Source organism: Homo sapiens, chromosome 5, assembly GCF_000001405.40.
Source record: "Homo sapiens chromosome 5, GRCh38.p14 Primary Assembly".
In the NCBI taxonomy this organism is placed as follows: Eukaryota; Metazoa; Chordata; class Mammalia; order Primates; family Hominidae; genus Homo; species Homo sapiens.
In genome coordinates, this window is record NC_000005.10 from 170,228,758 (window position 1) to 170,253,108 (window position 24,351).

The 24,351-nt window shown below is 39.7% G+C and overlaps 2 protein-coding genes across 14 annotated transcripts in view; one reads left to right on the forward strand and one right to left on the reverse strand.

The window, feature by feature from the left end:
- The first annotated feature begins 4,227 nt into the window (after positions 1–4,227).
- C5orf58 (chromosome 5 open reading frame 58) lies at positions 4,228–23,813 on the forward strand. 12 transcript variants are annotated; one of them, NR_161261.1, is made up of 5 exons: positions 4,228–4,250; positions 5,358–5,441; positions 6,220–6,313; positions 7,323–7,496; positions 17,205–17,474. NR_161261.1 is itself a non-coding variant. In XM_047416711.1 (4 exons), exons 2-4 carry the CDS (start codon positions 5,379–5,381, stop codon positions 17,354–17,356), a joined length of 309 nt encoding a protein of 102 aa, XP_047272667.1. In that variant the 5' UTR covers positions 4,228–4,526; positions 5,358–5,378; the 3' UTR covers positions 17,357–17,474. The 12 variants fall into 12 exon arrangements, 7 of the variants coding, with proteins under 7 accessions (XP_047272667.1, NP_001096079.2, XP_016864521.1 ...); NR_161262.1 differs by having other exon boundaries at positions 7,350–7,496; NR_161263.1 differs by having other exon boundaries at positions 5,369–5,441.
- The window catches only part of LCP2 (lymphocyte cytosolic protein 2), a 51,545-nt gene continuing 44,669 nt past the window's right edge, over positions 17,476–24,351 (reverse strand). For both annotated transcript variants that reach the window (XM_047417171.1, NM_005565.5), the window contains 3 exons: positions 23,677–23,754; positions 21,973–22,128; positions 17,476–20,062 (listed from right to left, as the gene is read on the reverse strand). In XM_047417171.1, coding sequence (XP_047273127.1) covers positions 19,940–20,062; positions 21,973–22,128; positions 23,677–23,754 — 357 coding nt within the window. In that variant the 3' untranslated portion in view covers positions 17,476–19,939. The remainder of the gene's footprint in view (positions 20,063–21,972; positions 22,129–23,676; positions 23,755–24,351) is intronic.

Sequence of the window (24,351 nt, forward strand, 5' to 3'; positions counted from 1 at the left end):
CGTGAGTACACCCTTATATTCTATAGGAATTGACTTCATGAACACAATACGTCTTTTGATAAAGACGCTCATTCTTCATTGCCTGGATGCTGATGAGGGCACAGTGTGGGGGTGTGGGGCAATGCCCAGAGGGAAATGACATCCACCAGGATCTATGTCTTTAATAATCAGAGGAGGTATTGTGGGGGAATGGATGCCTGACATGAGAGAATTAGAAACATATTTTATTTTGGAACAGACAGGTATTCTCTGATTGGTGGATCTCTGGAAATTAACACAAATTGTGTCATGAATATGCCTTGCCGGATGAAGGCATCTTCTAAAAAGCCAAGCACAAAGAGTTTTCAGACAAAAAGGCATAGCAAGCAACTGTCAAAACACAGTGCCATGTTGAATATTGTCAGCTTCCTTCCATCTGCTGTCTCAAAAACCTAGCTTCTCTCTTGCATTCCAGGGATGCTGACGGAGGAGGAGAGCCAGATTCTGGCACAGTAAGTTTATCTGTTTTATTATTTTGGACATCACGGTGGAAAACTTCAACATTCTCTTGGCTTTCGTATCTACTGAATCTACAAGGTTTCACACTGTTTGCTTTTCTTTCTTCAGGGTTGAAGTGTTTTGGGTAGAGAGTTGCCAGATTATCAAATAAAAATACAGGATTTCCCATTAAATTTGAATCTCAGATCAACAACGAATACATTTTGAGTATAAGTGGGGGCCATATAACATTCAGGACATACTTATACTAAAAAAAAAATCTGTTGTTTCTCTGGAACTCAAATTTAACTGGGTGTCCTATATTACATCTCATGACCCTGTTCAGAGGGAAATATTGATACAGAACTGTAATTTCTTAATTAGAAGTGAAAATGCTTCAGTTAACGTAGGAGCAATATGGATGTTCATTAATAACATCCTTCTATATTTCAGAAGTGTTTCTCCTAAAGAAAAAAAAATGACTCTGGATAATGTAACATCAGCTACTCGAAGAAGACAGTGGGCAGACACTGAAGCTTTTAGTTCACACCAGGGTAGCAGAAGTCAGCTTGCTTCTTGCTTCCTTTAAGTGATTGGCTTTGGTGAACGCAATAGTTGTTCGGGTACACAGGAATCTGCTTAATCTTTCAAATGCTGGTCATGCTCCCCAGGTAATGATCCAACACATGCTTATGTTGCTGCCTCCCAAATTAGTGCACACAGGGTTGTACAAAGTCAGGTTCAGGAGGGAGTTGATGCTCCAGCAGGGAGCTGGTCCCTAGACACAGAGGCCAGCACTCTTAATTGATAATGAACAGACAGGAGGAAAATGGGAACCCTGAGATCTAGTGGAAGAAGTAAGATAATTTACTCAATTTGTTTTCCTGGAAATGAAGACTTTATGTCAAGAATCTGTAATAAAATTAGCCGAGGTGCACACACTCAACTCCATAAAACGCTTGATCACCTTGCTGGTCTGCAGCACCTTTTTCTATTTATGGGAGCATTTACCAGTTTTTAAATCCCTTTTGTTTGATTAACATTAGAATCAACAACTGCAATCTGTGTTGGGTTCCAGTAAAGTGTTGTATTTTCACACTTATTAAAGAAGATAGATTTTGTTTTAGGGCCTTAGCTGTAAGTCTCTAACCCTGAGTAGCAAACCATGCTTTTAAACTTTCATTTTATTAGGGAAAAAAAAACACAAAGAGACAAAATCTATAGTTATTTAAGTAGAGAAAACAGTGCAATAAGTAGTCATCACTGCTCCAAGACAGTTTTATAGAGAGAAATGCATTACTAAACCTATCTTTTTCTGAGTTTTTAATCTCTTTTATTCCTCTTAGAACACTTATTTAAAAGGAACACAAAGTTGATTTTTCTTTGTGAATAACTAATGGCTTAATGATGATCTATTCCAAATAGCAGTAGTTTTGATATATTCATAAGAAGCAGTCAGCATTTTGGATGGATCCAAGGCCTTTAGATTCTGCCAAAAATCCTGTGGATTGCAATTCACAGGTAGTAGAGCTATGATAGCTCCTGCAAACAATTGAGGAACCCAAAAATGAGTTCAGTGTGCTTGGGACAATAGGACACTCCAGCCTACCAACCCCAGTGCCCATCATCACTTGATTTTCAGGATTCTCAGTCTTAATGCTATCTCCACCCACCTACTTCTCCTAAGCACCTTATTTACTCCTGTAGTTATCCACAGGGAGTTTCTAAAAGTGAAGAAGTTTTTACTTCTTCATCATCAAAATAAGTGAGGAGGAGAAAGGATACATCCTGTAAGCTTTCTGTCAAGATAGTCTTATTCTGAAGTTAAGACCCTCCTCCTTTTATTTTCTTCCTTCTGTTTTGATTTTAAATTATCCTTGCTTTTATAATACAATGAAGCCAGTTCTTTTTGCTTGGTTTTATACATTAATGTCCTAATTTAGAAATAAATGTTGCTTACCCTATGTTGGTCTCCCCGTATTTGTATTCCTCTTTTAACTCTTTCAGTCATTCTAATTATATCAAGAAGAAAGTCTTGGTTTGTGCTAGACTGTCTTTAACACTTCTCTAACACTTAATAAGAACCCATTTTAACAAAAAAGATCAGGCTGCAGAAAACACTGCAACTGGTTGCGAGCGTATATACATGATTAAAATATGCCTTATTTTCACTGTCTTTATTTTTCCAATGACTTTATGAGTTTTGTTTGTTTGTTTTGGGATGGAGTCTCACTCTGTCACCTGGACTAGAGTGCAGTGGTGCGATCTCGGCTCACTGCAACCTCTGCCTCCCGGGTTCAAGCGATTCTCCTGCCTCAGCCTCCTGAGTAGGTGAGGTTACAGGTGGCCACCACTACGTCCAGCTAATTTTTTGTATTTTTAGTAGAGACGAGGTTTCACCATGTTGGCCAGGCTGGTCTCGAACTCCTGACCTCGTGATTCACCCACCTCAGCCTCCCAAAGTGCTGGGATTACAGGCGAGCCACCGTGCCTGGCCTGACTTTACGTTTTATTCTATTTAACACTGGTGATATAAAGATTTTTAAGTAGACTTAAATTTTAAAAATAAGTAGATTTAAAATATGAAGGCAATAATATAGCTTCGTATTTTACAAAGCTGGTTATCATTAAAAACTTCTTCACCTTTAGAAACTCCCTGTAGTTAACCACAGGAGACAATAAGGTGTTTAGGAGAAGATAATAATAATATGAGTGCCATAAGCACAGAATCTTAACAGTGGCCCAGCAATTAGTACAATTTAGGAACTACTGGTTTAGCCCATCCCTCTCAATAGAAAACAGATAAGGAAACAGAGACTCAGAATAAGGAAGATATTCTTTTCTAAGATCATACAGCTGGTTATCATTAAGCTCTGTTCTCCTCTGTCCCTCCTCATCTAGGTAATTGCATTCGACAACAAATTCTGCAGTGTTAAAGTGAAGGAAATTGGATATAAAATACCCAACAATTGTGATGTGGGCTTTCAGGAAGGTGATGGTTCAAGAGGCTGGTGTGTACTATAGGGGAGGCATAGACGCAAAGACTTGTTGTATAGCACCTTGTGCTGAAAGCCTAAACTCCTCAATTTCTCAGGGCACCAAGAAAAATCTTTGGGCCTGCCTCAAAGGTTGCAGTGGCAGAGATTCCTCTGGAGTCAAGCAAAAGACGGCTCGAATCCCAGCTTCTCAGCTTGGCAAAAAACCATTTTCCATGTCTCAACTCATCTCTTTATTCATGCTACTCTTTACTATTATCATTCCTATAAAATGTTATAGGAAAAATAATAGCTAACAGTTATGGAGCACTTGGTATCTGCCAAGCACCTCTGATGAATTATCTCACTTAACCCTCAAACTAACACTGGAAGGCAGTTATTATCGTTCCATACGATAGGTGAGGACATCTGCACTCTGAATAGTTAATCGCTTATCTGCATCTATACAACTAAGCAGGTGATAGAATAGGATTCAAACCCAAGTGGCTTCATTCCAGAGTCTGCACTTAACGCTACCGCTATCCTGTGCGACTCAAATGCAGATAAGGGTTGCAAAAGCCTGGCACACTGGGGGTAAGGAATGTCAGTGCTTTTTCCGCCAACGTGGCCGCGCGAGTCAGTTGTAACCCGGCATCCAGAACCTTCTCCGTAGGGGCCTTGCCTGGGACTACAACTCCCAGGATGCCGCAGGCGGAGAAGCTGGCCAATCAGGGGGCGCGGCTTCGCCTTCACCGTCGGCTCCCTGCTCCTGTCAGAACCTCGGTGACGGTTGGCCAGGTGGGTAGTGACGGCTGCTCGGTCTTGAAGGATCCTAATCTGGTTTGGGAGGGTGAAGACCGCTGAAATTTCCAGGCTGCCCGAGGCTCCACCTTCCACCACCCAACGGGTGGGCGGTGGGCCGGGCTGGCCTCGGAGCCTCTCCCTGGGTGTCGGTTGGGCCGAGAAGGGGACGGTTGGCTGGGTGGGCCTGGCGGCTGGTGGCTGTCCGTAGGCCGGGGTCACTCTGAGGGCATTTTACATTACCCTAATCCTGTCCACTTGGCAAGAAACTTAGTAAGCCCCAAAGGTTCATTCCAAATCCTGTCTGGGAGGGCGAGGACTGTGGAAACTTCCAGATGCCTCAGGCTCCATCTTTAGCTGTTGAGCGGGTGGTTGGGCCGCTCATGGCCCCAAAGATCTGGGGGGTCTTCATGGGCAGTTGGGTCGCTGAGGGCCCTAAAGATCTGGGGCTCCTCCCAGGTGTCAGTTGGGCCAAGGAGGAGGCTGGGCTTTCAGAGTAGAACCTGCGGTGCTAACGATGGCTCTGCAGGGCTGCGGGCTGAGGGCCTGGGCGGCGTCCTGTGGCCCGGAGATGGCGCTCTAGTGGTATCAGGCCTTGAGTCAGCGACATCCTGGCTTCTGACCCCCCATTCCTATGGCCCCTACAGTCTGGTCTCCGCTTCCCCACTCCCGGTGAATTGCTGTTGGAGCAGCCTCTCCTTTCTGGGTAGTGGCCTGGCCGAGCTCCCCGGGGAGGGCTTGACCCAGACCTGTCCTGCCTCCAGTCCAGTCCCAGCTACATTGTTGTGTAGCACCCCACTGTGCCCTCACCCCACCCACGCGCTGGGTGCTCGAGGGCCTAGGAGAACCAGAGTGGAGAGAGGCCACTGTCTTGGGCTCTAAAATCATTTAGTTTCTACTTTACTATTTTTAAAAAACTTTTGCCTTGTTTTTGAAGTTCTTTAATTCCACCACTCCACCCCTTGTTAAAATATCATCTTTCTTTTTCCCTGCAACTTGACTCTTGGTTTGGCATGCCCAAGGAAGGCAGCTGACATCCTGGAGAATGGGGTCTTGGGGGTAGATGCAAAGCGCATTTTATTAATGTCTGGGAAACAAAATTAGTTTTTTTACAGTGGCTCTGAAATGAGAGAAATTGCAGAAATTCTCCCTGCTCAGGAAAAGGTAGAGGCAAGGATTGACTTAAAGGTTAGTTTGTTTTCATTATTTTGGACAAGCAGCTTGACCCATGACTGCCCACCTTTCACACTGCTGGAGTTGTGTATGCTAATTGAGATGGAGTTTTTCAAGTCATTTTGAGAGACTGAACAGCTTAAGACTAGTTTCTAGTGAACCACCTCTCTGTATATTTGTATCTGACACAATTGGTTAAATACAGGTACTGTATAACATAGGAATGCGTTGATTTATACATTTCAGTTAACCAAAATTAAAATGTCTGTTACTCTAACTCCCAAAACCAAACCAGCCATTTGCCATACTCTTAGTGGATTATAATTGAATTATCCTCTTAATGAATTAGAATAAAATTCTTTTTTGAGTTTCACTGTGTACTTAAATCATATGTGGGCCCTGTTATTCAAGAATAAGTTAGAAAAAGACATGGACTTACATAAACAAAATTAGAGAAGATCTTAACACAAACGCTAAATTGTAAGGTAGTTTATAAGGGCTGAGGCTTTCTGAAAAGGGGACATCTTCATTTCCATTGTAAGCCCTATCTTGTGGATATGGTTTGATTGAGGAAGGAACCTCATCCTACAAATTCCAGTTGGAGTTTTTAGTTGGAAAAATATTACATAACACATTAATGCCTTTTGATGTTAGAATTCTAACCATTTATAAAGATTTGTTTCATAATTATTTCTGAAATAACAGATTTATAGAAATACTGAAAATGTAAGTATTTTAAAAGTACACATAAATACTGATTTATACATTGTTTCTGTTTTTCTTTTAAAATCAGATGGGTAAGAAGCGTGTTACTGATCATAAGCTAAATGTGGACAAAGTAATTAAAAATATTAACACAATTTCTTCGGAGTTGAAGAAGATAAAAGGTAAGTATTGAATCACTAAAATGTTTGCATGTCATTGTTATAAAATAAATGATAGAGCCAGTTTGTGTTTCTGCTGGGGTATAAGTAAATTTTGCCCACTAATTAGGATTTCTCTATTTCTTAACAAATGTTTTCAGTGTAAGTGAACTAGATCTCTAAAGATGAATTATGTTCGACTTTGGAGTTAGCAGACCTGAATTCCCATCCCTGACATTAATAAGCTTATCAGGTTGTCTAACCTCTGTAAATTTTACTTCCCTTCCTTCCCTTCAACACACCATTCAAGACTATGTCACATTCAGCAAAATTCATTGTCTTTATAAATTCTTACTAAGCCCCTAAGGTCCATTCCAAATTAAAAAGTATAAATTAGATTCTGTGACTTAAAGCTTCTTCATTTTAAACAGATTCATATAGTAGGATTAGACCTTATAGGTCATGATGTTTAGTCGCTCACCTCACAGACATATTCAGTTATTTTATCCCAAGAAAATTTCTGTGATTGAATATTTCTAGGGATAATCTATCCCTGACCAAACATTTCTTATGCTGGGGAACTTCCTGTCTCACTAGTCAATCCATTCTATTTTAAACAATTCCTTCTCACCAGCTAGCTGAAATCTGTTCCCCTATTGCTTTCACCTAAGAGTCCTATTTCTAACCATGAAAACTACACTGAATATGTAGTTATTCTTTTTAAAACAACTCTTGGGTATTTAAAGATAACCTGTGTCAGTTATGAGGCCTACATCTATAAGTAACAAAAAAACCAACTTAACTTATACAATAAGGAAAAACAAGAAGATCCAAGGTAGCAGAGCCCTAAAGTTAATTCAGAGGTTTAAAGATTTTGTCAGGGACCAGGCTCTTTCCATCTTTCTGCTCTGTCATGTTCACTCTCTTTATTACCCCTCATGATCATTACCTTCAGAGGTGCTCATATATAGACAGTCTCTTTTTATAAGTCTCCTCCCAGATCCCTCCAGCACAGTTCCCTTTCATTGGCCAGATTTGCATCACATGCTGATGCTTACAGCAGCCACAGCTAAGGGGACTGGGACTGCCAAGACCAGTTTGGACCACTCAGAACTTACTACAGGAGCTGGGGAAAGGAACACCTCAAACAAAATCAAGCTGTGACTCCAAGAAGAAGAGGGCATGGCCGTTCGTTAGGCACCAAATAATGAGTGCCTAATATGCTTTTTCCATGTGTTCTCCCTAGGACAGCATTTCCTGGACTTTGATCTGTGAACCCTGCTGTTTCAAGCAATGTTAATAGATGGTGTACAGTAGAACAGAGTCAATGTTCTTATGGCCAAATAAGTTTGGAAAGTGCTTTATGCTACATATTTCACAAATTTACAGTACATATTAAGAAATCTGACTACCTTTAATTCATCATTTCTCAAAACCAGCTTCAACACCACAGTGAAGATTCTCCTTCTAAAATGCGAATCTGCAGAAAACCCTCATTGGCTCACCATTGTCCTCAGGATAAAGTCTAAACATCTTAGAATGGACTATATGACCTGCTCAGATCATTCCCCTCCTTTCCCCTCTAGTCTCTTACTCTGTTCTTACTGCATGTTCTATGCTCCAGCTGTACTGAACTATTTGCATATCTCCACAAGTGCTTTTCTGTATCTGTTTCAACACATACTTGTCTGTCTGAAATCCCATTGCTATACCCTACCTCCAACACACCAGGTTAACTGCTAGTAGTCAAGGTCTCTTACAATGGAAAACTTTTTTTGAGCCAGCATGTTATCCTTTCTGCCTTTTGCTATCACCTGTTATACTATTTTATAATTGCATATTTCCTTACTTTTCTTATCCCTGCTCAACTGTAAGCTCCTTATGGGTATTTCTAGTACTTAACACGGTGCCTTGATTGATTCGATTCTTAAAAAATTTTTATTAAATGAATAAATGGTTCTGGATGCTTGAACTCATTTAAAACAGTTAAGAAGCTTTAGATTCCCCCCAAACTTGATTATCTAATTGTTCTAGTTTGGAGAATATTCTTTCATAAAATAAAATGTAATAACTATGTGATAGATGTTTTCTTGAGACATTGTATGGGTAGGTCAGGCAGTTAGACTCTGAGGGACCTGTAGAGCTACGCTAGGAAGGTAGACTTCTGGTAAATGTAGAGGATTAAATGAACACTCTGTGCACCCTCACTTCCTCCCCTAAATAGTAATGTCAGCAGCCAACCTTTACAGAATTTACCATAATCCAGGACTCTTCTAAGAGCTCTGCATAAATGAACTCTCTTCATCATAATCCTATGAGGTAGGAACTATTGCCATTGGCATTTACAGATGTGTAAATAGAGAGATTTAACTTTTTCAAGGTCAAGCAACTAGTCAGTGGTACACCTGAGATTTAAATTTAAGTGATTTTTAAAGAGACAAAAATCCACAAGTAAAGAGATTCCAAGAAGAGATAACAAAACAAAAGGCAAATGGAGAAGCAAATAGACAAGTCTGAACCCCAAAGCCCAAAAATCTGAACCCTAAGCTGGCTGGGTAAAGCCAAAAATAGCCCCTACGACTCAATTCATGGTGGCACCAGGATCTTCTGGAAGTAGGGGTGAAATTTGGATAATAGGAAGACTAGTTAAATATATAAGAATTGTAGATCCCTGAGGTCTCTTCTGCCCTCTGCATAGCTGGGCAGCTATCCCTTCACTGTGACAAAAGACTTGAGGTTAAAACAAGGATATTTGCCCTGGAACCACTAGTCATAGGTTGAGGGAAAGTAGTATACTGTAAAGAAGGACACTGAAACAAAGTTTACTTACAAAATTACAAGACCCCCAGTTTTTTTTCCTTCACTGGGCTACCAAAATACTGGCAGCCAGATTTATACCCACCAAGTAGATTTTTCTCTCAGGAATCTGACCAGCCTAAGATAAAAGATCTAAAGATACTAATAGCAGAGGTTCTCCCAACAAAATAACCCAGCCAGAACACCCCACATTATTGAGTACCACAGGTGCAGAACTTCCAATTGTCTTTTTAGTGTCACAGTCTTAAATATGGGCAACTAAGGCACAACAGATACTTGAGGGACAAATCTAATATTAAAAAGCAGAGAAAAAATCAACAGATTCAATGAGGAAGAAACAAATAATGAGGGGAGATGAAAATTTCAAGAAATTATTAATATTCAGAGAGAAGAGAAGATACTGTATCCATGAAAAAGGAACTACATACTATAAAAAATATTCAGAGAACAAGAAGGAGCTCTTGGAAATTAAAAATGTGACCATAGACATGAAAAACTCGATAGAAGGGTTGAAAGGTAAAATGAAGAAATTCCTCTAGAGTGTAAACAAAACAAAAGAGATGGAAAGTGTTGGTGATGGGGAGGAAAAGGATTAGGTAAGTGAAGGAAGTCCAACATCCAACAAATAAGAGTGTTAGAAAGAGAGAACATACACAAGGAATGAAGGGCAATTCATTAAAGAAATAAAGAAAACTTCCTAGAGTTGAAGGGCATTTGTTTCTACAATGAAAGAGTCCACCACAGTGCATGAAAATAGGCTCATACCAAGGCAGAATGTTGTGAAATTTCAGTCTACTGAGAGAACAAAAAGATCTGTAAAGCTTCTGAAAACAAAACAATCATATGAAAGTTCTCATATGACTCCAGCTTCACTGGAACCTAGAAGACAATGCAGCAGTGCCTTTGGAAATCTGAAAAAAATATGATTTCCAACCTAGATTTCTATAGCTAGTCAACCTAATTAAGGATTAGTGTAGATAAATTTTCAGACATATAATTTTATTCCCTCTGGAAGTTACTGAGCCTATATGTCACCAAACAAGGGAACAGATCAAAAAGAGAGACACAGGAATCTGGGGAAAAGGGCACTCCACAGAATGGAGGGATAAAAGGAGTCTCTAGGATATTAGTGAAGGGAGTTCCCAAGATACCAGCTGTACAGCAGTGCTAGTAAGCAATCAGTTCAGATTGGAGCAAATCAGAAGGCTCCAGGAGAGGAGAGACGTTTAACAATAGAATAGCTAAGGTGTTGAATAACCCAAGAGCAAATTTACTCAATTGGGGGACATTTAGGATATATTTCTGATAATGCAGCAATGCAAAAACCCAATTATTACCTCTGGTGGGTTGCGTGCAGGAAGGAAAATGTCATATGACAAGACTCAGCTATGAAGAATATTTGTATAATTAACATTTAAACATTAGATAATTGAGCTAAGCAAAAATTTTTCCTGAAGTATATTGGGAGAGAAGAGGGTGTGTGAAAGAGCTGTATCTTAATCTTCTGTGTCAGAGGCAGGTAACACTGAAAATTGAAAAAAAAAAAATCAAATCTCAAAAAATTTAAAGTTACAGAGGTAAACACCACCCCACCACTCCCCACAATAAAAATACTCAAAACAGACACACTGAAATGACCAAAGCAACAAAAACAAAGTGAGCTATAAAAAAAAAAAATTAAAATGGTTGCCTCTGGGAGATTGGAACTGCAGTTTTTTTGTAACATGCCTTAGACTTATCTGATTCTTGGTACTATATGCATGTATAACATAGATAAAAATAAGTTAAAACCATATAAATCAAATTTGTATAAATCAAGTTGCAGTTTAGTGATATAGCCGAGAAGTTGGGCTAAAGAGCACCCTTTTAGTAAGTTTTTATGTCATGCTTATTTTGTAATAACATAAATCTTATTTTTTTTTTAATTATACTTTAAGTTTTAGGGTACATGTGCACATTGTGCAGGTTAGTTACATATGTATACATGTGCCATGCTGGTGCGCTGCACCCACTAACTCGTCATCTAGCATTATGTGTATCTCCCAATGCTATCCCTCCCCCGTCCCCCCACCCCACCACAGTTCCCAGAGTGTGATATTCCCCTTCCTGTGTCCATGTGATCTCATTGTTCAATTCCCACCTATAAGTGAGAATATGCGGTGTTTGGTTTTTTGTTCTTGCGATAGTTTACTGAGAATGATGATTTCCAATTTCATCCATGTCCCTACAAAGGACATGAACTCATCATTTTTTATGGCTGCATAGTATTCCATGGTGTATATGTGCCACATTTTCTTAATCCAGTCTATCACTGTTGGACATTTGGGTTGGTTCCAAGTCTTTGCTATTGTGAATAATGCCGCAGTAAACATACGTGTGCATGTGTCTTTATAGCAGCATGATTTATAGTCCTTTGGGTATATACCCAGTAATGGGATGGCTGGGTCAAATGGTATTTCTAGTTCTAGATCCCTGAGGAATCGCCACACTGACTTCCACAATGGTTGAACTAGTTTACAGTCCCACCAACAGTGTAAAAGTGTTCCTATTTCTCCACATCCTCTCCAGCACCTGTTGTTTCCTGACTTTTTAATGATTGCCTTTCTAACTGGTGTGAGATGGTATCTCATTGTGGTTTTGATTTGCATTTCTCTGATGGCCAGTGATGATGAGCATTTTTTCATGTGTTTTTGGCTGCATAAATGTCTTCTTTTGAGAAGTGTCTGTTCATGTCCTTCGCCCACTTTTTGATGGGGTTGTTTGTTTTTTTCTTGTAAATTTGTTTGAGTTCACTGTAGATTCTGGATATTAGCCCTTTGTCAGATGAGTAGGTTGTGAAAATTTTCTCCCATTTTGTAGGTTGCCTGTTCACTCTGATGGTAGTTTCTTTTGCTGTGCAGAAGCTCTTTAGTTTAATTAGATCCCATTTGTCAATTTTGTCTTTTGTTGCCATTGCTTTTGGTGTTTTGGACGTGAAGTCCTTGCCCATGCCTATGTCCTGAATGGTAATGCCTAGGTTTTCTTCTAGGGTTTTTATGGTTTTAGGTCTAACGCTTAAGTCTTTAATCCATCTTGAATTGATTTTTGTATAAGGTGTAAGGAAGGGATCCAGTTTCAGCTTTCTACATATGGCTAGCCAGTTTTCCCAGCACCATTTATTAAATAGGGAATCCTTTCCCCATTGCTTGTTTTTCTCAGGTTTGTCAAAGATCAGATAGTTGTAGATATGCGGCGTTATTTCTGAGGGCTCTGTTCTGTTCCATTGATCTATATCTCTGTTTTGGTACCAGTACCATGCTGTTTTGGTTAGTGTAGCCTTGTAGTATAGTTTGAAGTCAGGTAGTGTGATGCCTCCAGCTTTGTTCTTTTGGCTTAGGATTGCCTTGGTGATGCGGGCTCTTTTTTTGGTTCCATATGAACTTTAAAGTAGTTTTTTCCAATTCTGTGAAGAAAGTCATTGGTAGCTTGATGGGGATGGCATTGAATCTATAAATTACCTTGGGCAGTATGGCCATTTTCACGATATTGATTCTTCCTACCCATGAGCATGAAATGTTCTTCCATTTCTTTGTATCCTCTTTTATTTCCTTGAGCAGTGGTTTGTAGTTCTCCTTGAAGAGGTCCTTCACATCCCTTGTAAGTTGGATCCCTAGGTATTTTATTCTCTTTGAAGCAATTGTGAATGGGAGTTCACTCATGATTTGGCTCTCTGTTTGTCTGTTATTGGTGTATAAGAATGCTTGTGATTTTCGTACATTGATTTTGTATCCTGAGACTTTGCTGAAGTTGCTTATCAGCTTAAGGAGATTTTGGGCTGAGACGATGGGGTTTTCTAGATATACAATCATGTCATCTGCAAACAGGGACAATTTGACTTCCTCTTTTCCTAATTGAATACCCTTTATTTCCTTCTCCTGCCTAATTGCCCTGGCCAGAACTTCCAACACTATGTTGAATAGGACTGGTGAGAGAGGGCATCCCTGTCTTGTGCCAGTTTTCAATGGGAATGCTTCCAGTTTTTGCCCATTCAGTATGATATTGGCTGTGGGTTTGTCATAGATAGCTCTTATTATTTTGAATTACATCCCATCAATACCTAATTTATTGAGAGTTTTTAGCATGAAGGGTTGTTGAATTTTGTCAAAGGCTTTTTCTGCATCTATTGAGATAATCATGTGGTTTTTGTCTTTGGCTCTGTTTATATGCTGGATTACATTTATTGATTTGCATATATTGAACCAGCCTTGCATCCCAGGGATGAAGCCCACTTGATCATGGTGGATAAGCTTTTTGATATGCTGCTGGATTCGTTTTGCCAGTATTTTATTGAGGATTTTTGCATCAATGTTCATCAAGGATATTGGTCTAAAATTCTCTTTTTTGGTTGTGTCTCTGCCAGGCTTTGGTATCAGAATGATGCTGGCCTCATAAAATGAGTTAGGGAGGATTCCCTCTTTTTCTATTGATTGGAATAGTTTCAGAAGGAATGGTACCAGTTCCTCCTTGTACCTCTGGTAGAATTCGGCTGTGAATCCATCTGGTCCTGGACTCTTTTTGGTTGGTAAACTATTGATTATTGCCCCAATTTCAGCTCCTGTTATTGGTCTATTCAGAGATTCAACTTCTTCCTGGTTTAGTCTTGGGAGAGTGTATGTGTCGAGGAATTTATCCATTTCTTCTAGATTTTCTAGTTTATTTGCGTAGAGGTGTTTGTAGTATTCTCTGATGGTAGTTTGTATTTCTGTGGGATCGGTGGTGATATCCCCTTTATCATTTTTTATTGTGTCTATTGGATTCTTCTCTCTTTTTTTCTTTATTAGTCTTGCTAGCGGTCTATCAATTTTGTTGATCCTTTCAAAAAACCAGCTCCTGGATTCATTAATTTTTGAAGGGTTTTTTGTGTCTCTATTTCCTTCAGTTCTGCTCTGATTTTAGTTATTTCTTGCCTTCTGCTAGCTTTTGAACATGTTTGCTCTTGCTTTTCTAGTTCTTTTAATTGTGATGTTAGGGTGTCAATTTTGGATCTTTCCTGCTTTCTCTTGTGGGCATTTAGTGCTATAAATTTCCCTCTACACACTGCTTTGAATGCGTCCCAGAGATTCTGGTATGTTGTGTCTTTGTTCTCGTTGGTTTCAAAGAACATCTTTATTTCTGCCTTCATTTCGTTATGTATCCAGTAGTCATTCAGGAGCAGGTTGTTCAGTTTCCATGTAGTTGAGTGGTTTTGAGTGAGATTCTTAATCCTGAGTTCTAGTTTGATTGCACTGTGGTCTGAGAGATAGTTTGTTATAATCTCTGTTCTTTTACATTTGCTGAGGAGAGCTTTACTTCCAAGTATATGGTCAATTTTGGAATAGGTGTGGTGTGGTGCTGAAAAAAATGTATATTCTGTTGATTTGGGGTGGAGAGTTCTGTAGATGTCTATTAGGTCCGCTTGGTGCAGAGCTGAGTTCAATTCCTGGGTATCCTTGTTGACTTTCTGTCTCATTGATCTGTCTAATATTGACAGTGGGGTGTTAAAGTCTCCCATTATTAATGTGTGGGAGTCTAAGTCTCTTTGTAGGTCACTCAGGACTTGCTTTATGAATCTGGGTGCTCCTGTATTGGGTGCATATATATTTAGGATAGTTAGCTCTTCTTGTTGAATACATCCCTTTACCATTATGTAATGGCCTTCTTTGTCTCTTTTGATCTTTGTTGGTTTAAAGTCTGTTTTATCAGAGACTAGGATCGCAACCCCTGCCTTTTTTTGTTTTCCATTTGCTTGGTAGATCTTCCTCCATCCTTTTATTTTGAGCCTATGTGTGTCTCTGCACGTGAGATGGGTTTCCTGAATACAGCACACTGATGGGTCTTGACTCTTTATCCAATTTGCCAGACTGTGTCTTTTAATTGGAGCATTTAGTCCATTTACATTTAAAGTTAATATTGTTATGTGTGAATTTGATCCTGTCATTATGATGTTAGCTGGTGATTTTGCTCATTAGTTGATGCAGTTTCTTCCTAGTCTCGATGGTCTTTACATTTTGGCATGATTTTGCAGCGGCTGGTACCAGTTGTTCCTTTCCATGTTTAGCACTTCCTTCAGGAGCTCTTTTAGGGCAGGCCTGGTGGTGACAAAATCTCTCAGCATTTGCTTGTCTGTAAAGTATTTTATTTCTCCTTCACTTATGAAGCTTAGTTTGGCTGGATATGAAATTCTGGGTTGAAGATCCTTTTCTTTAAGAATGTTGAATATTGGCCCCCACTCTCTTCTGGCTTGTAGGGTTTCTGCCAAGAGATCCGCTGTTAGTCTGATGGGCTTCCCTTTGAGGGTAACCCGACCTTTCTCTCTGGCTGCCCTTAACATTTTTTCCTTCATTTCAACTTTGGTGAATCTGACAATTATGTGTCTTGGAGTTGCTCTTCTCGAGGAGTATCTTTGTGGCGTTCTCTGTATTTCCTGAATCTGAACATTGGCCTGCCTTGCTAGATTGGGGAAGTTCTCCTGGATAGTATCCTGCAGAGTGTTTTCCAACTTGGTTCCATTCTCCCCATCACTTTCAGGTACACCAATCAGACGTAGATTTGGTCTTTTCACATAGTCCCATATTTCTTGGAGGCTTTGCTCATTTCTTTTTATTCTTTTTTCTCTAAACTTCCCTTCTCGCTTCATTTCATTCATTTCATCTGCCATTGCTGATACCCTTTCTTCCAGTTGATCTCATCGGCTCCTGAGACTTCTGCATTCTTCACGTAGTTCTCGAGCCTTGGTTTTCAGCTCCATCAGCTCCTTTAAGCACTTCTCTGTATTGGTTATTCTAGTTATACATTCTTCTAAATTTTTTTCAAAGTTTTCAACTTCTTTGCCTTTGGTTTGAATGTCCTCCCGTTAGCTCAGAGTAATTTGATCGTCTGAAGCCTTCTTCTCTCAGCTCGTCAAAGTCATTCTCCATCCAGCTTTGTTCTGTTGCTGGTGAGGAACTGTGTTCCTTTGGAGGAGGAGAGGCGCTCTGCGTTTTAGAGTTTCCAGTTTTTCTGTTCTGTTTTTTCCCCATCTTTGTGGTTTTATCTACTTTTGGTCTTTGATGATGGTGATGTACAGATGGGTTTTTGGTGTGGATGTCCTTTCTGTTTGTTAGTTTTCCTTCTGACACACAGGACCCTCAGCTGCAGGTCTGTTAGAATACCCTGCCGTGTGAGGTGTCAGTGTGCCCCTGCTGGGGGGTGCCTCCCAGTTAGCCGGGTCAGGGGTCAGGGACCCACTTGAGGAGGCAGTCTGCCCGTTCTCAGATCTCCAGCTGCGTGCTGGGAGAACCACTGCTCTCTTCAAAGCTGTCAGACAGGGACATTTAAGTCTGCAGAGGTTACTGCTGTCTTTTTGTTTGTCTGTGCCCTGCCCCCAGAGGTGGAGCCTACAGAGGCAGGCAGGCCTCTTTGAGCTGTGGTGGGCTCCACCCAGTTCGAGCTTCCCAGCTGCTTTGTTTACCTAATCAAGCCTGGGCAATGGTGGGCGCCCCTCCCCCAGCCTCGCTGCTGCCTTGCAGTTTGATCTCAGACTGCTGTGCTAGCAATCAGCGAGACTCCGTGGGCGTAGGACCTTCCAAGCCAGGTGCGGGATATAATCTCGTGGTGCGCCGTTTTTTAAGCCGGTCTGAAAAGCGCAATATTCAGGTGGGAGTGACCCGATTTTCCAGGTGCGTCCGTCACCCCTTTCTTTGACTCGGAAAGGGAACTCCCTGACCCCTTGCACTTCCCAAGTGAGGCAATGCCTCGCCCTGCTTCGGCTCGCACACCGTGCGCGCACCCACTGACCTGCGCCCACTGTCTGGCACTCCCTAGTGAGATGAACCCGGTACCTCAGATGGAAATGCAGAAATCACCTGTCTTCTGCGTCGCTCACGCTGGGAGCTGTAGACCGGAGCTGTTCCTATTCAGCCATCTTGGCTCCTCGAGAGCATAAATCTTATTTTAAGTCAGAATGGGACACACTTAAGTTGTGGTTTGATCACTAATCACTTGGAAATTAGGAATTAGGAAGAAATAGCTACTTAAAGCAATAATAGTTTTTTATGACATATGTGCTACAATATAATATCTCCTGTTTTGTTTTGCACAGAGCTCTCCCAGTTATTGCTTTGTGACCTTATCCTACATTTTAATCATCCCATCAAGACTGAGAACTTAGCAGAAGCAGAAAGAAACAACCCCCTCTTTGAAGAGTCTAAAATATCAGATGTATCCCTTGTTTCTAACAGTTTTTCTATCTGATTTCTTATTTGTTATGAGTTTCTGTTTTATTGTTGAACTAACAAATATTTGGGAGAGTTGAGTTTACTAATTTGTATATATATAATTTAAAACAAAATAAAAATAATGTAAACAAGCAGTTCATGTTCTTGAAGGCTGTTTAATGTTTTGAAGAATGGCTTAACTTACGTCACTAATGGCAAGTGTATGACATAGGAAATTGGCCATGGGTCACTGCTTATCCTTTAGCTTATGCTTGAATTTGGCTCAGGTTGAAAGAGAGCTACTAAATTATTAATTGATGGAATGAGTTTTTATTAATCAGAACTCTCCTGGTAGTGAACGCCAAGCACAACTCAACCAGCTGAAGCATTTATTGAGTCATGTGACTTGGAAGCACATAGTTGGAATAGATTTCAGGGATCCCACTAATTTGTCCATACTTTTACTGTGTTTTTGTGTGTTGGCCTCGTTGTCTTCTATTGTAGACTGGTTCTTCCAGATAATTGGTAAATGGGAGTAGTTGCAGGGCAGCAGGCAGCTCCAAGTGTACAGCATTGCCTTTGGGGACCCCAGATAAAAGAGAGATCTTGTCTCAGGCTTCATGTTTAACATTCCAGAGAGTGACCCTGATTGACCCAGCTTTAGTAAGATGTTTATCACTGAGCAGGGTTCTGAGCAACTGTGACTGATGCACCTGGGGTCATATAGAAGGTCTGTGGCCAAAAGAGGCAAGGCCCAGCCAAAAGGAGTTGTCGGTGCTTGAACAGAGAGAGAATGCTAGTCATGAAAACATTAGCTTCCCAACATTGATTTCAGTCATAGCCATGGAACAGAACATCTTAATCCTGATGGCACTTTCCACTAATAGACTTAAAATGAGCTTTGGTTTGTTTTATAAACATGATTCGCTACCAAATAGTTGCTTTGAAATCTATCAGGTCCTTCATTTTAGATATTTTTGAATTGTAAAGATAGAATACGGCAAAGCAAGACAAGTGGAGCTTACTCGATACTAGAACCTATGGTGTATGCTATCCTTACTACCTTGTACCTAGCTCACTTGTTTAACACAGAAGAGCCACTAAGTAAATACTTGCTGAATAGCCCGTTGTGTAGACGTGTAAATGAATGCAGGGTTTTCAGCCTTAAACTCCCAAGTTTTGGACCCTAAACTGAGAACTTCTGGTTGTTAAGGATGAGATTTTGTGAAACACCATTTTTATCATCAGTTAAAAGTCTCTACCTTCTGCATACTCCTTATTTTAACATATCATCAGTTTTAAAATGGTGACTTCTTAGATTCCTTCCAATACCCCTTTTATTAGCTCATGAAAATGAAGCTGCAAGATACTCTTTTCCATTTCGAAAACTTGTAGATTAAGCAGAGACGCCAAAAATTGTTGCTAATAAAAGTTGTGCAATAACAACCAAGGTCCCAAAGGGAAAAACTTGAAGAACAACTGATTGTCACTATTTGGCTGAATACCAGTTTTTTAATCTGGCTGAATGCCTATATTTTTTGTTAAGTGATATTTGTAAACTGGAGGAAAGAGTTTAATTACCTCAAAGCACTTATACAGCCTGTTTGGGAAGGATGAGGAGAAGGGACTTTATGGCAGAGCTGTCAGGGGGATAACAAGAGACAGAAGAGCCATATCTAATAGGAAAGTCTGATCACATTTAATCTAAAGTGTTGCTCCCTCGTCTTCCCAGGAAGCCTTTGGTAAAATCTATATCCCTGGACAATGCTTTTGGGGTTGGGAGAAGGTTGGTGGGGGGCTGTGATGGTTGGTGTGGGTGTGGAGATGTGAAGAAATGCCAACTTAACCCCAGATGTGTTCATTAAACCTAGACCCACGATACACCAAAGTCTCATCCCTAAATTTAAAATGTTTTCTTTTGGTATTTGTAGTTTAAATTTTCTTTAAGACAAAAATATAACAGTATGGACTAAAAGTCAATAAAGTTGTTTTAGGAAACCAAAAAAGTAAAGCAAAAGACTATTTTAATCCCAGAAGTTATCTCAACATGCATTTGTCTTTTCATAAAAAAATTACGTAAAAATGCCCCCAGGAAAAAATACTAAATAAGAGTGAAATTATATTTTTGAAGCCTCTTAAATTATTGCTGCTGAGAAAACGAGGTTTAGTGATTTTCAAATTACATGTATAAAACTAATGAATGCCTCTGACTGACAGAGGTTTGGCTGTAAAAAACAAATCAGTTTTATGTGACACCAATAACTATTACTGTTTCAGTGTTTTAAAACTTGCCCCAAATTGTTTCTGTAGCTGTGTAAACTACTGTATTTTGAAATGGGCATTAAATAATCTTTTAAAAAATGAATTATTACAGTGCACTACTAGACTTCAAGTGTGAACATGACTCATGCACTTTACAAACATTGAAGAAGAATAAATAAATTATGGGATAGTTGACAGTCTTCATTTCAAACACTGTTTTTAAAGGAAAGGATAAAACCCTTGTGTTCATGGGGAGGGGTTCAGTTCAGTCCTAAGTGTTTGTCCATTGACCAAGGCTGATTGATCTCGTGTTGGCAACAGAGGCAGGAGGACGGTTCATTTGCTCGGCTATAACTTGCTATGGGTACCCTGCAGCATGCGTTAATGTGCACTGGTATCTGGAACCTCGGTTTTTCCCATCAATGAGCAGAAGTGGCATTTTCCTGAAGTAGTCAATAATATCTGACACAGACAGAAAGTCCTGAAAGAGTCAAGATAGGGAGATGAGTCAACATTGGAATGAAAAGCAGGAACTTCACTTTCAGTTTTTTTATCTGCATAATATATGCTGCCTCTTCAAGTGATGAGGATTGTGGGGGGAAAAAATGTAAATGTGGCAATTAGTTTAATGATTTCTGCTATAGAACTTTGAAAAAATTCCTCATAAACATCCAACAAACCATAGATAAAGATAAAATATGGGCCGGGTGCAGTAATTCACCCCTGTAATCCCAGCACTTTGGGAGGCTAAGGCCGGTGGATCACCTGAGGTCAGGAGTTTGAGACCAGCTTGACCAACATGGTGAAACCCTGTCTCTACTAGAAAATAGAAAAATATTAGCTGGGCGTGCTGGTGTGCGCCTGTAATCCCAGCTGCTTGGGAGGCTGAGGCAGGAGAATTGCTTGAACCTGGGAGGCAGAGGTTGCAGTGAGCCGAGATTGCGCCATTGCCGCACTCCAGCCTGGGTAACAAGAAGGAAACTCCATCTCAAAAAAAAATAGATAAAATATGTGCATGCGTGTGTATATATATATATATATATCTACATATCTATATATATATATATGTAATTTGAAATGCATATATTTTTAACTTCATATGAAGGGGTCATTTAAATAGTCACTATTACAATATTCTTGCCTCGGGTTGCTCTGTTTTTGGTTTTGGTTTTGGTTTCTGCATCTCTATTTCACCCCCAGTCATTAATAGTGTTAGGAAACATAAGGACTCAGGAGGTCAGACACGGTTCATGGTGTCTAGAGGTGGGATCTGCAGCATGGCACAGGAGTTCCTTCATGATCTCTCTGCTGTGTCCTCACTGCCACCTTCACACTCATAAAGGCTCAGCAACCAATATTTGCAGCCATAGCCTGGATCGCCCCAGCCTTGATTGCTTGCTAGAGAGGGAAAAGCCTAACTCATTTTTCTAGATGTGGGTCACAACTCACCTAGGAACCCTAACAGGATAATGCACTTCCTTTAAGACTAATCTGCTAGGTGCCTCCCTCCATGGGAGCTGCAATGAGTGGTTGGTCTGCACTTGTGTGTTTCCACACTGGACCAAGATAAATCTTGAAGGGCAAATACCTCTGCTCCTATAGGGTCTGTGCAGCTCTATCCACTGCCAACCAGCGATTCAAACATTTGATCACAAGCATGCATTTTTTTTCTATTCATTAACATTATCATAACAGAAGTATGTGAAGCAGAAGTTATGGGTAAGCTGTTTCTCATTCTGGACATGTTTGATTCAGCTGGTCCTCCTCTTGGAACTTTGAACTTAGAGTATGTTTGGGGCGTTACCTTCAGTTGTTAGTTTCCTTTGCGAAAAACTAGCCCTGAGGGTTTCTTTCCATCCGTTCTGATTAGCACTCAAAAAGTGACTGGCATGAGAATCTAAACCTTGGCCTAACAGAGAATTTCTTTGGCGATCTGGCCATCCTCACAGAGCCAAACCTCCATTTTGTTAAGAAATGAGCCAAGTATTTGAATAATCACCCCAGCAAATATTCTAATTTTTCCCCTTTTCCAGGTGGTGTCAACTTAAAATGCAGCCTACGTTAAAATTATGCCACAGAGGTGAATAATAGTGGGAACTTTCCTTTGACACCATCTAAATAGATTTTTTTAAGTTAACATAGTTTTTCTTGATTTTGAAAATTATACATGTGATTATTTGAAAGAAAAGATATACAAGAAAGAATCCTATGGCAGAAGTAACCATTGTAAAGATTTTGCTTTATTTCTCTTCCAATAAATGAAGGGCTTCACTCATGTGATTTAATCCTAAATTTGCCATACAGCACGGACTCTCAAAGATCGCTCCATGAAGGCATGCAGAGTGGCATAAATAAAGACTTTGGGAAAATGTCGAAATTTGAAATCCTTACCTCTTTCCCTCGGAGTCCAGTTCCCAACAAGTAAACTTGACTTTCCTTCTGATAACGGATCTGGATGTTGTAAACTTTATCTTTGTACAACACCATGAGGACATATGGATTGGTTGTTGTTTTTTTAGAGCTGTCTCTGACCAGAAATGTGCCATCCTAAAAAGACAAATTCCTGTTATTATGGGAGCAGTAAAAGTCAATATTTTTGTTGCTTGTAAGAGTAGTAGACAAGCCTCTAGGGATCTGACAAACATGTCAGTTGCACTTTGCAGCTTCTTGAGTGCAAAACCTGTCATTCAACGAACATTCAGTTCTCCAAACAGCTACATATCCCATGTGTCATGAGTTATTTTGTTATTAAGAAAGGCAACAGAGATTGTATCAAAGAAATTTCCAAGTCAATCTCGTTAAAGCCTCCTGATAAAAACGGAATCTTTTGTTCAGTAATAAATAATGGGTGGTTGAGTGGATAAAAGGCCAGGAGAAATAAAATACTTTATTGGTTAACTCAAGATATATCTTCCTAGTATTCCTGTGAGTTAATTCCCTAAACTTTCTTTTCCACATCCAAAGTCAGAAAACATCCACATGCCATGAAATTCACCCTTCTTAAAACCCTGTGATCTCTAGATAGTCTTTCCTTCATCAGACCCTTGAGCAAAATTGAATGCAGATGTTCTCTTTTCTTTTCTTTTTTCTGATATTTGCTAAACTACTGTTTTGATTGTCCTGTACTTTAAATTTCCATTCAATAAATTATTGCTACATAATATTAATACTGTAAAGATCTAATATTAAAATAGAATTAATTGGTAAGGACTCCTTTAAACTACTCCCTTCTCCTCATACCAAATCAGGATAGCTTTAAATAGCCATGAGTTGGCAATAATGACTTTCCTTTGTTCCTTTTATTGCAAGTTAATTGAGCCTGTCAGAACATCTCTGCTAAACAAACATACTTCTGGACCAGTGATTCACAGTCTTGGCTTCAAATTAGAATTACCTGGGAAGTTTGAAGACTCCCAGAGCTGACACAGCACCCCCAGAATAATTAGAATCTCAAGGTGAGACCCAGGAATCGGGATTTTTCAAAAGTTCTCCGGGTGATCTAAATGTGCAACTACTACTGAGAACTACTGGTGTGGAGTTTAAGTGTGAAAGATGAAAGATTTTTGCTTTCCCATTTCTGATAAATAAATCTAAGGTAAAGTTTCGGCACTGGCTACGGGAAATATGTTTAAGACTTTATGATATTAAAGGACTAGCTAGAAACGTCTAGGGCAAAAAGCAAAAAGTTGCTGCCATCTCTTTAATATTGGTCCTTTCACATCAACATGGATGGCACGTCTGTGTTAAGAGGAAGATAGAACTGGTACGATGTTGGAACTTTGAAAGAGAGTCTCCTTCTGACACCATGTGATTCCTATGACAAGACAGACTCTTTCATTAATAAAATCTCCTAAGATGCTGCCAACCAAATGACTGCCTTGAGATTCTTCTGCCAGCCTAATGATTCCCGAGCCTAGGAATCCCTGCTATGGGTGCTGGTAGTTGTGAAGCTGGCACTAATGGGTCTCCTAGGTATTACAGAAAGCAACAGCACCTAGCAGAATTCCTAGCCTGTAATTGGTACTCAGGACAGGTCAGTTCCCTTCTCTGCCATTAATATTTACAACTATGTTAAAATAAACTATAGCACAATACCTGGTTTATCTTTCTAAGAGCAGCTTCTGCCTCTGGTCGGGTAATATAAGAAACGTACCACTCTTCATTTAATGAATTCTGAAAATGTAAATTTTTAGAAACTGAATAAATTTTACAGTTACAGATGTAAGTGAAAAGAAAAGCCTCTGAGTAATCATTTCCATAAATCAACACCTCAATTCCAGGAGGTCTGAAACATTTGTTTTCTTAATTTGCATTCAGAGTCATTTAGCTGGGGCTAAATAGAAGATATTTTGTGCGAACTGCTTTTTATCATGACACTGGTTGCAAAAATGCCTGTGAATAAGAGTTCCTTACAGTATGGAACCTCTTCAGGAAAGATACAGATACAATAATTTCTTCAGTTTAGCATAATAACCTGCTTGATTAAAAAAATGGGTTATTGAGCAGTTAAGTGACGAATCAAGGTCATAAACATAAAAAACAGGATTATTTTTCTTGCTGTTTAATGCAAAACACATGTTTGCCATTGAAAGCGTCTGAAAGAACGCCAAGGGAAAAGAACATATTGTTCATCTGGATCTTCTCCTTTAACTTTTTTTTCAAATAAATAAAATAAAACAAAGGGAAGATAAAAGTACAGAAGAACATTCAATGGGAGTTTCTGGTGATTCTTTTACCAGGGAAAAGGCAAACAAACAAAAATAAAAACAT